The sequence below is a fragment of the Homo sapiens genome, chromosome 6 (assembly GCF_000001405.40).
Source record: "Homo sapiens chromosome 6, GRCh38.p14 Primary Assembly".
Classification (NCBI taxonomy): Eukaryota; Metazoa; Chordata; class Mammalia; order Primates; family Hominidae; genus Homo; species Homo sapiens.
Genome location: NC_000006.12, coordinates 4,184,988 through 4,197,461, shown reverse-complemented (window position 1 = coordinate 4,197,461; position 12,474 = coordinate 4,184,988). Strand labels below are relative to the sequence as shown.

The 12,474-nt window shown below is 44.9% G+C and overlaps 1 long non-coding RNA gene and 1 pseudogene across 1 annotated transcript; one reads left to right on the top strand and one right to left on the bottom strand.

Moving 5' to 3' along the window:
• Positions 1–7,432: 7,432 nt before the first annotated feature.
• LOC102724096 (uncharacterized) lies at positions 7,433–11,142 on the top strand. Its single transcript, NR_125874.1, has 3 exons — positions 7,433–7,585; positions 9,272–9,472; positions 10,693–11,142. It is a non-coding gene; the product is annotated as an uncharacterized LOC102724096 (long non-coding RNA).
• Positions 7,454–8,394, bottom strand: NAA40P1 (NAA40 pseudogene 1; annotated as a pseudogene).
• Positions 11,143–12,474: the final 1,332 nt, after the last annotated feature.

The following is a 12,474-nucleotide window of genomic DNA, read 5'->3' as shown; positions in this document are numbered from 1 at the left end:
TGTCTATGAGTAGGAGGAATACATAAATAAAACATAATTTATCTATTCATACTCATGGAGGAATAGATAAATAAACCACATTGAACTGTATGAGAAATACTGTTCAGCAATTAAAATGACTGAGGTAGTTATATGTATATGAACATGATTAAGTCTCAAATGCATATTGAGTGAAAAATTATAATTTGCAAAGTATATTTAGATTATATATCATTATACCATCTATTTAAATTTTTTTTTAAAATCAAATGGTGTAATTGTTTATGGATACAAAAGAGCCTAAACAATGTTTAGAAATGTTTTAATGCTTCTTAAAAGGATCTAAAAATGTGGCAAAAAATATACATTTAACATCAGTTGGTGGGCATATGAGGGGACTTCAGAAAGTTCATGGAAAAAAAGAAATTAAAAGATTAAAACCTTTAAAAAATACCACTTATTTTCAGTATAAGCTCCATCGAGGTCAAGACACTTTTGTAAGTGATGTTATCAGCCATTTAGTTCCTCCCTAAAGAACCGAGGGTCCTGGGAATTTAACCATGTCAATGCAGTCTTTCTTACATTATTAACTGAAGAAAAATAGGTGCCTTTTACAACTTTAAGATTAGGAAACAAAAAGAAGACAGAAAGACCCAAATAAGGACTGTAGGGTGGACGCCTAATGACTTCCTATTAAAACTCTCATAAAATTGCCCTTGTTTGATGAAAGGAATGAGCAGGAGCATTGTCATGTTGGAGAAGGACTCTCTGGTAAAGCTTTCCTGGGCATTTTTCTGCTAAAGCTTTGGCTAACTTTCTCAAAACACTCTCATAATAAGTAGATGTTATCATTTTTTGCCCTCCAGAAAATAAACAAGCAAAATTCCTTGAGCATCCAAAAACACTTTTGCCATGGCCTTTGCTCTGACTGATCTGCTTTTACTTTGGCTGGAGCACTTCCTCCTCCTGGTAGCCATTGCTTTGATTGTGCCTTGTCCTCAGGATTGACATGAAAGCTATGTTTCATTTCCTGTTCTAACTCTTTGAAGGAATGCTTCAGGATCTTGATCCCACTAATTTAAAATTTCTATTGAAAGCTCTTCTCTTGTTTGCAACTGATCTAAGTGCAATGGTTTTGGCATCCATCAAGTGGAAAGTTTGCTCACCCTTTAATTTTTCAGTCATAATTGTGTAAGCTGAACCAATTGAGATGTCTATGGCATTGGCTATTGTTTCTGCCATTAAATCCCCTTCATAACTTGATGTAGATGGTCTGCTGCTGTGACCTTCATCTTCAACATTCTCATCCCTTCTTGAAATGAGTTATCTGTTTGTAAACTGCTGACTTCTTTGGGGCATTATCTTCATTATGATTGTCTTAAATCATCAGTGATTTCACTATTCTTCCACTCAAGCTTCACCATAAATTTGATGTTTTGTCTTGCATCAATTTTAGCAGAATTCATATTGCTCTGCTAGGTGCTATTTTCAAACTGATGCCTTATTCTTTTCAGTGCCTCAAACTAGATCCTGTTCAGACATGTTATAACAAGTTAGTGTCAGTTTATTTTGGTGCAAAACAATTTTGAAATCCATGCACAGTTTTTTCATAATACTCATTTTCCATGAACCTTCTGTAGACCCTTCATATAAGTGTCTATTATTTTTGTGTTTTGGGAGGTGTCTGAAATATTTCATAGTTTAAAATGCAAAAGATAAAGTATCAATAAGTTATAAGCAGCAGCTATGAAGTCTAGAGCAGTCTATCATAGTGGTCTACGGTGTTAATTACCCACAAAAATGTCACCATTATTGTCAATTATGAAGGTCCCTGGTACACATGTCTAAAACCTTGCCAAAGATCATTCTTTATCCCCAAAAGCAGATTAGTGTAAATCAAGTTTATTTGCTAAGCTTGGAAAAATCTAATCTTGTGATTTATAAAATTATTAATAAGTAGCCAAATGATAACAGCTAAGATGACTCCTCTTAGCAATTCTTATACATATAATTATACATTACATTCGTTCCTCAGTATCCATGGGTTATTGGTTCTAGGACCCCTGTGGATACTAAAATACATGAATGCTCAGGTTCCTGATATAAAATGGTATCATATTTGCATAAAACCTTTGCATACAACCCATGCAATCCTCCTACATACTTTAAATCATCTCCTAGATTAGTTTTAAGATCTAATAGAATCTAAATGCTTTGTAAATAGTTGTTATACTGTATTGTTTAGGAGATAAGAAAAAAGGGACAAGAAAAAAAGTCTGTACATGTTCAGTAGAGACTCAACCACCCTTTTTTTTTTTTCTTTTTCTTTTTCGAAATGGAGTCTCACTCTGTCACCCAGGCTGGAATGCAGTGGTGCAATCTCGGCTCACTGCCTACCTCCCAGGCCCAAGTGGTTCTCCCATCTTAGCCTCCCAAGTAGCTGGAACTACAGATGTGCAACACCATGCCAATTTTTGTGTTTTCAGTAGAGACGGGATTTTGTCATGTTGCCCAGGCTGGTCTCAAACTCCTGGACTCAAGCAATCCACCTGCCTTGGCCTCCTAAAGTGCTGAGATTATAGGTGTGAGCCACCATGCCCGGCCTTCTACTTAAAAAATAGTACTTTCAATCCACATTAATTTTTTTTAACAAAGTGTCTTTTTTGACATACAAATACAACTAATACAAAACGAGATCATTTTCCCTTTGATTCCAGTGATAACAAGCTGCTAAAGAAAATATACATATATATATCAAGAAGGAGTTTATCTTCCAAGTTTTCTCTAAAAAAAACCCCAGAAAAAAATTAAAAGAACCATTCACATGTCCTATACCTATGAGACACCAACCAAAATAACCTGAAATAGGGTGGATACAACTAAAACTTTTAAGACTTCATGTCTAAAACACCAAAAGCAATGGCAACAAAAGCCAAAATTGACAAATGGGATCTAATTAAACTAAAGAGCTTCTGCACAGCAAAAGAAACTACCATCAGAGTGAACAGGCAACCTACAAAATGGGAGAAAATTTTCGCAATCTACTCATCTGACAAAGGGCTAATATCCAGAATCTACAATGAACTCAAACAAATTTACAAGAAAAAAACAAACAACCCCATCAAAAAGTGGGCGAAGGATATGAACAGACACTTCTCAAAAGAAGACATTTATGCAGCCAAAAAACACATGAAAAAATGCTCATCATCACTGGCCATCAGAGAAATGCAAATCAAAACCACAATGAGATACCATCTCACACCAGTTAGAATGGCAATCATTAAAAAGTCAGGAAACAACAGCTGCTGGAGAGGATGTGGAGAAATAGGAACACTTTTACACTGTTGGTGGGACTGTAAACTAGTTCAACCATTGTGGAAGTCAGTGTGGCGATTCCTCAGGGATCTAGAACTGGAAATACCATTTGACCCAGCCATCCCATTACTGGGTATATACCCAAAGGACTATAAATCATGCTGCTATAAAGACACATGCACACGTATGTTTATTGCGGCATTATTCACAATAGCAAAGACTTGGAACCAACCCAAATGTCCAACAATGATAGACTGGATTAAGCAAATGTGGCACATATACACCATGGAATACTATGCAGCCATAAAAAATGATGAGTTCATGTCCTTTGTAGGGACATGGATAAAATTGGAAATCATCTTTCTCAGTAAACTATCGCAAGAACAAAAAACCAAACACCGCATATTCTCACTCATAGGTGGGAATTGAACAATGAGATCACATGGACACAGGAAGGGGAATATCACACTCTGGGGACTGTTGTGGGGTCGGGGGAGGGGGGAGGGATAGCATTGGGAGATATACCTAATGCTAGATGACGAGTTAGTGGGTGCAGTGCACCAGCATGGCACATGTATACATATGTCACTAACCTGCACAATGTGCACATGTACCTTAAAACTTAAAGTATAATAAAAAAAAATTTAAAAAAAAGAGACAAAGTCATTATAAGGTAATAAAGTGGTCAATTCAGCAAGAGGGCAAAAAAAAAAAAACTAATACTTTTAAAATCTTACAAAATACACTAACAGGCTTCAAACAAAAAACAACAAAAAGTTTGGTACAAAAGGCCTGCTGTGTTTCTCAAAAGCAAGACCTGGGGGAAGTGGAGAAAGACTGATGTTTTGGAAATTAATGGGCTCAACACCGACGAGAGTAACTGCAGATCTCAGACAGTGCTCTCCCACTCCAGCCCCGACCTCCTGAGGAGCCCTTCCTGACACGGCCTGCTGAGACTTCAGTGAGCAGGGAATGGCACCAAGCCCTCATTTACCAGTTGGTGCCAGGAGTCCAGTGACTGGAGAATATGTACACTGAACTCACCTTAAGTGTGATGTACACTGGGGGGTTCCTTTTGGTCACCTTGAGTGAGATGTATCAGAAATCTATGATCTAAGAAAATAAATATTTCGCTCTGTGTCCTTTGACAGACAAGGACCAGAGGAAAATCTCTTCTTAAACATGCTTCTGTGGTTTCATGAGTCTTAGGAGTCCACCAAAAACCTCCCAGCGCCCTCAACTCTCCCTTGGGTGACACCCCAGGGAGACAGCAGGGTGAGACATGCAGACTTATTCCAGTGTAAAGCCACAAGGCCCTCTCCCAAAGAGTGTCCACTCCCACCACTGCCAGAGTCAAGAGCAGCAGAGAGTGTTTAGCAGAGGGACCAGGCTGGGTGCGGGAGGCCCTGTGTACGCAGGCCTCTACACAAGTAGGAATCCAGGTGAGAATCAAGGACCACTCTGGGGAGATCTACCAGGACAAACTGCCTGAGTTGAGCAGAGGGTGAGATGTGAGCAGATACTGAGGTCAGAGAGACCAACAGATCTCCAGGAGAGCAACTTCATGAAGGCTAGAACCTTTACGATCCTCCCCAAAGCAGAGTTCAGGAATGTCCAAGGGGAAGTGTTGGGATTTTTCCTTGATAAGGATTTGTTTTATCTTCCCTGGAAGAGGAACAAGGCCTAGAGATCAGGATGAGTATTAGTTCTGAGGCTGCAACCTCTTTATCCTATCGAAGAAGAGGAAGGCCTTCTCCCCCTGCTCCAGCCTGTTGCCACAGGGTGACCTCAGAAAGAAAAGCAGCTGTTTTGGCCACAGAAAGGCATTCCTGCTGCAGCCTTAACTATGGCCTGGCTGGGTCATGGCAGTGGCACTAGTGCCTCACTGAGGCAGTAAGGGGCAAGGCTGGAGAGTGAGGGCAGGGGGACTGCTGCTGTCTGAGGGCTCTCTGAAGAGAGGGTGGTGGTGAGAAGTGATGCCCTTACCCTCAGAGAGCTATCAGCACCAAGAGATGAGTGAAAAAGGCATCTCTCATCTCTTGGTGCTGATAGCTCTGGGGGAAGATGAGGGGCCCCCTGATGTTATTCTACCCTGGAGACTAAGAACAGAGGTATCTGGGGTACAGGAAAGAAGCAGAGGATAATGAATGGTGGGAACTGGCAGAGAGAAACAGGCAGAACCTCTGGTTTTCTTCTATGAATAAAAACCTCAATCACTGCCATGAGACCAAGAGGTTAAGCTTAGAATGCAGCAACATCCAAAAGCATACACAAGCAGTCATCCCCATGGCAGGTCCCATATAACACCTCATTCCTGGTCCTTTTGAGAGGTGACAGCCTGCTGGCAGCACTCACTGGCTCTCGGTGCCTCCTCGGCCTCAGCGCCCATTCTGACCGCGCTTGAGGAGCCCTTCAGCCCGCCCCTGCACCGTGGGAGCCCTTCTCTGGGCTGGCCGAGGCCGGAGCCGGCTCCCTCGGCTTGCGGGGAGGTGTGGAGGGAGAGGCATGGGTGGGAACCGGGGCCGCGCACGGTGCTTGCGGGCCAGCTAGAGTTCCAGGTGGGCGTGGACTTGGCAGGCCCCACACTCCGAGCAGCCGGCTGGCCCTGGGCAGTGAGGGGCTTGGGGCTTAGCACCCAGGCCAGCAGCTGTGGAGAGTACGCTAGGTCCCCCAGCAGTGCCAGCCCACCAGCACTGCGCTCAATTTCTCGCCCGGCCTTAGCTGCCTCCCCGCCAGGCAGAGCTCGGGACCTGCAGCCCGCCATGCCTGAGCCTCCCCGCCCTCCTGCCGTGGGCTCCTGCATAGCCCGCGCCTCCCCAACGAGCACTGCTCCCTGCTCCATGGCACCCAGTCCCATCGACCACCCAAGGGCTGAGGAGTGTGGGCACACGGTGCAGGACCGGCAGGCAGCCCCACCTGCAGCCCTGGTACGAGATCCACTGGGTGAAGCCAGCTGGGCTCCTGAGTCTAGTGGGGACTTGGAGAACCTTTATGTCTAGCTAAGGGATTGTGAATGCACCAATCGGCACTCTGTGTCTAGCTCAGGGTTTGTGAATGCACCAATCAACACTCTGTATCTAGCTAATCTAGTGGGGAAGTGGAGAACTTTTGTGTCTAGCTCAGGGATTGTAAACGCACCAATCAGCACCCTGTCAAAATGGAACAATCAGCTCTCTGTAAAACAGACCAATCGGCTCTCTGTAAAATGGACCAATCAGCAGGATGTAGGTGGGGCCAGATAAGAAAATAAAAGCAGGCTGCCCGAGCCAGCAGTGGCTACCCGCTTGGGTCCCCTATCCACACTGTGGAAGCTTTGTTCTTTCACTCTTTGCAATAAATCTTGCTACTGCTCACTCTTTGGGTCCACACTGCCTTTAAGAGCTGTAACACTAGTCACAAAGGTCTGCAGTTTCACTCCTGAGCCAGAAAGACCACAAACCCACCGGGGGGAACAAACAACTCCAGACACGCCGCCTTAAGAGCTGTAACACTCACCGCGAAGGTCTGCAGCTTCACTCCTGAGCCAGCGAGACCACGAACCCACCGGAAGGAAGAAACTCCGAACACATTCGAACATCAGAAGGAACAAACCCTGGACACGCCGCCTTTAAGAACTGTGACACTCACTGTGAGGGTCCATGGCTTCATTCTTGAAGTCAGTGAGACCAGGAACCCACCAATTCCAGACACACTTTCAGCCTCTCTCGTATGGTCAGTGGCGGTGGCGATGGCAATGACGAGTGGCGATGAAGACAGCCAGCCTTCCTCCCAGCGGCTACTGGTCCCAAGCTGAGTCCACTCCATGGATTCATTAAAAACAGCAGGAAAGAGCTTTCCTCACTTCCCTGCATCTTGGCACAAAATATCTTCCCACAGTCTCCGTCAGAGCATTCCACCTGCGAAAGCCTTAGTCTCTCTGAAGCCTCTCTCTACGCCCAGATCTTACACCCAATGCGTTCCTCTTTGGGGTTCCAAACCACAGACCCAGAACTCCAAGATTTTCACAAAGGTGAAAATAAACATTCCATTTTCCCAAGTGTGTATGTGTGGGGGAGGGGAGTATCTAGGAGCTGCAGCGAAGTGGTTTCAGAACCTCCACCCCATGGCCCAGGAGCCTCACTGTGAGGATGAGCTTCACAGTCAGTCCTCCACTCACTTTTCCCTCTCCTCTTCATTCTCTCCTGGCACGCTGGTCTTCCAGAAGAGGGGAGGCAGTGTTCCGTGTTCTCGGGGTGCAGCCCGACAGGTGCAGGGCTGAGGAGGCCACAGCTCTGAGGGCACCTGGCAAATGGTGAGACCAAGGGAGACGACAGGCCTTAGAAGAGAGCACACTGATTTGCAAGTGGCTCTAGGAGGTCAGTGGCAGCAGCCACCACAGTGCCCACCTGCATGGGCATGCTGGCTGTCCCCAAACTTGGTCCTCCAGCTCAGGATCTTATAGGAGCAGTCCTCCCCACAGCAACCAGACATGCTGGGGGAAGAGTCATCAATTTCAAACTGCAGGCTTCTCTGAAGAATTGGTAGGTGCTATGATTGTGCCTGAACACCATTAACATAACCTCCATCATCTGTGTCCTGTTGGCCATGAGCTGCAGTCTCTGTAGGAGGAAATTCCCCCAGGCCTTTCCACCGCACCTTGCTTCCCACGTAGGACTTCATCCTCTGCACTCCACATCAAACGGGAAGTGAAAAAATGCAACAGGTGGGCAATGCATTCTCAAGCGAGGAGGCACCAGGCTGGGTGACTACCGTTTCTCCCGTTTCTCTCTGTCCTTCCAGCCCCACTCCCTCTACTCATACGTGGTCTGCCTATCGGTTTTGGTCAGGTCGAAGGCCCAATCCATGGTGGCTGGCTCCAGTCCAGACCCTGGCCTACACTCAGTAGAGACATTCAACCCGGTTTTGATCAGATTTCCTGAACAGCAGGAAAGCCTCCAGAGGGTCTCCAGGCCTGCTGATGGCGTCCCCTTTGGCACAAACAGCATCCATGGCTGCTGGCTCCTCCAACCACTTCTGTTTCTTCTCCTTAGCTTTGCTCGACTTTCTCCCCACAGCAGCGACGGCGACGCTCAGCAACTCCCTCAATCATTTGCTGGCAGGCACTCGCGACCTGCGGCCGTGGCTGCGGTGAAGACAAAATGGCGGGGTCCTGCACTGCGCATGTGCCTCGCGGGCTCCGCGGCCCCCTTCCCACTGCGCCCTGGCACCCACTCGCGCCCCCTCGCGGGCCACGTTGGTTAAATGAACGGATGCAGGATACAGAGGGCCTGTGGATATAGACGGCTGACTGAATGTACACGTTTACTATATAATTTTGTTTGTAAATTATATTATGATTTAATTCTATTTATAACTTTATAATTTTTTGTTTTACAAGCCTATAGAATTATATATAATTATTGTAGTTTATCCTTATCTCTGTTTCACGGAGAGGTAAATGATGACCAGGGAGTTACAAAGCTTCATAAGTTTCTCGTGAGTACCAGGGAGCAGAGCCGGGGTCTAAACCAGTCTGCCTTTTTTCTGAAGCCAGAGTCCTCTTCTTTACACCAAGCTACTCTATAGAAAGAGCATTCTCAGGCCAGGCGCAGTGGTTCACACCTGTAATCCCAGCACTTTGGGAGGCCGAGACGGGTGGATCACCTGAGGCCAGGAGTTGGAGACCAGCCTGACCAACATGGTGAAACTCCGTCTCTACTAAAAATACAAAAATTAGCCAGGCGTGGTGGCCTGCACCTGCAATCCCAGCTATTCAGGAGGTGGAAGTAGGAGAATCGCTTGAACCCGGGAGGTGAAGGTTGCAGTGAACCAGGATCACGCCACTGCACCGGGATCGTGCCACTGCACTCCAGCCTGAGCGACAGACTCCGTCTCACCAAAAAAAAAAGTAAAATAAAAATGTAGGAAGAGCATTCTCAGAGAAGCTCAGTTCCAACCTTCAACCTCAATTTTTTATCACCTTATGTTTTTTATTTAGGGAATGTGTATTGGAGAAAAAATAACAGAGTCTGGCTAAAGAGATGAAGAGCTCATGAGGGCGTGTCTCAATTTAAACAAGAGTAGCATTGGCAATTGTTGTCCTTAGCAGCAGCCGACAAGGCGGAATTGGAATGGTGCTGCTCCTGACTACCTCTACTCCACGCTAGGCTTAGGGGCTGGAGTGACCCAAGCCCTCAGGGTAAGAAAAGTCCGATTTAGAACCTAGGACCTGACGACAGGGAACATTTAAACCGTCAGTTCCTACCTTAATCTTATCCCTTCTTCTCTCTCATGACACCATTTTTGTTCCCCTAACAACTCAGGGCTTTTCCAAACTCTGAGGCAATTCCTACCCCAAGCAGAATTTTGAAAGCTTTTTTCCAACACCATGTTATTCAACAACAATCCCACTTTGCTGCCACCACAGCCCAGCACGTGTTCCCAAAGACTGAAAGCTGTCTTGTTTGTGATTGAGACCCTGCCAGGCACCCTGGGGCCTGACGGCTTTTATCTGGGGTACCTCATCTGCTCATAGGTCCTACTGGGTGCTGCTCATGAGCCAGATTTGGACAAGAACATTTTAGGTTTTATTCTGGGTTTTTATTCCTACTTACAAGGTGTCAAAGAACAAACTTTCAACAAACTGAGATTCAAAGATCTAACAGACAATTATTAGTGATTCACAAACCAGGCAGCATTCAGCCCACAAAATGGAAGGGAGCTCCACTGAGCTGAGCAGAGAGGGCAGGTTTCATAGGCAGAAAAGGCTGGAGAAAGCCGAAACAAGGAACATAAGGTGGACTTGCCATTTCAAAGTTACTTTCCTTACAGAGAGTCTTGTTGGCTTAGTGAGATTTGGCTATCATATCTCTCCTGATTTCTGAAAAGATCAGACTTTACAGGTAAACAGCTTAGCATTTGGTTTGGTGATGTGGAATCGTAGTATGAGTAACTCTATTTTGGGTAGGTCTGCTGGGACCTAGTGCAGGAATTCAGTCCAAAACAATGGCCTCCCATAAACTTTATTTAACGGAGCTCTGTGATGTTGAGCAAGTTACTTCACTTCTCTGGACCACAGCTTCCTCATTTGGGAATGGAGACTGTAATGCTAGCTACTTCCTAGGCTTATAGTGAGGAGTAAATACATAGGGATGGAAAGTGCATATCAATACAATGCCTGTCACTGAAGGACTCATTAGGTGTTAGCTGTTATTAGACTGTAGCTATTGTGAATATCAGGCTTCCCCTCTGTGTTGTCTGGGCTTCTGAATATCACCTTCTCCTGAGTTTCCCATCGTCCTGTTTGTCCCCCTGCAAGGCCCTTTACCATACTGGGTGAGAACCTCCAGGATACCTCTTCTCTGTCTCCATGCTCTTCAATTGCTGTTTTATTTCTACAGTTGGATTTTTTTTCCCCAGGACCTGCAGCGGCTGAAGTCCTCTCAGCACCTGCAATATCCCAGAGGGCAAAGACAGGGCCAAATACTGGATTCTGGATTCTCTTCATTGTTGTCCCCCTGCAAGTGGAGAGGTATCCAGGCTGGGCCTTGTCCTAAGATATGACGGAACTGAATTCTTCCAGCAAGCATGTGAGCTTGGAAGAGAACACCATGCGCCACACGAGAATGCATACTGGCCAACACCCTGTGCAAAGATCCAGAGAAGCTGTGCTCAGACTCCTGACTCATGAAAATAGTGAACTTATAAATGTATATTGTTTTAAGATGCTAAATTTGTGGTGATGTGTTACATGGCAATAGAAAACTAATAGAGATAAAACTTGACATTTGAAGTGCATCACATAATGAAATTAGTAGATGAGAATCTCTCTAGAAACAAGTAAAATTTTGAGTTAAAATGAGAGACTGGACATATAATTCCTCCTCCCTCCAAAATCCCAGGAAATGAGTAGTTAAAAAAATTTTTTTTTAATTTTACAAGATAAGAACAACAAGCAGAGATACTTGAAGTAGGGGCTGGTTCTTCTTCACTCCCTTTGTTATATAACTGAACTTCCTCACACTTGAGAAGTACATTTCCCTGCTCCTTGACTTTCAACTCAGCCATGTGGCTTGCTTTGGCCAATGAGTTATAGGTAGACGTGATGTGACCAGAGGTTTAGAACTCATCACTGATCTTGAAACCACCTTTGCAAAATTATGACTGAGACAGTGAAACAGATCTAACTTAGCCAACTCCGTCTTCTTCCAACCTGCAGGCTGTGCTTGTTCATTCTGGGTGTAGGCTGAACTAACTTTGGGAGAAACTTAGTTTATAGTTTAAAACAAAGATGATAACAGCCCTTTCCCAAAGCAGACCTTCTTCTTGCCTGGGGACTAGATTGCCTTTGTAGGACTGACAGTAGCCACGAGATTAGAAATTATGATTTAGGAATCGTGCAGCTGGAGGCTACAAGATTCTGACCCTCCCTAAATTGCTCCTAAGATCAATGCTTGAGATATTTTGCAGACCCTGCACTTGATGGCACCACTCAGATCAATAAACTGGCTCATCTGATCTTGTGGCCCCTTACCCAGGAACTGACTCATCACAAGAAGACAGCTTCAACTCCCTATGATTTCATCTTTGACCAATCAGCACTCCTGGCTCACCGGCTTCCCACACACCCACCAAGTTGTTCTTAAAAACTCTGCTCTCCGAATGCTCGGGGAGACTGATTTGAGTAATAATAAAACTCTGTTCTCCCACACAGCCGGCTCTGTGTGAATAACTCTTTCTCTATTGCAATTCCCCTGTCTTGATAAATTGTCTCAGTCTAGGCAGCAGGCAAGGTGAGCCCACTGTGCAGTTACAATCTTGCCTTTTATGCTTCTACCATCACTATGTGAAGAGCTGCACTGGCTAGCATTCTGGTCCAATTGGAGTGGGAAAGACATTGAGTAGATCTGGACAACCTGCTGCTTAGAACATATCCCAGCTAAGCTCAACATGGATTAAATGACCCCAGGTTAATGTGCAAACATCTGAGAGAAAATAAATGATTGTTTTCTTAAGCCACCAATATTTTCAGTTGTTATTCAGTAACATTGTGAAAAGAGGTGACTAATACAAGAGAAGAAACAACAGTAAAAAAAATTTGGACGTGTAAAAGCAGATGGTAATGTCCACTTTCATTTCTGACAGTATAACATATCAAAACTAATGCCAGTTCTAGAACTGAGACATAAAACATCTAAAATT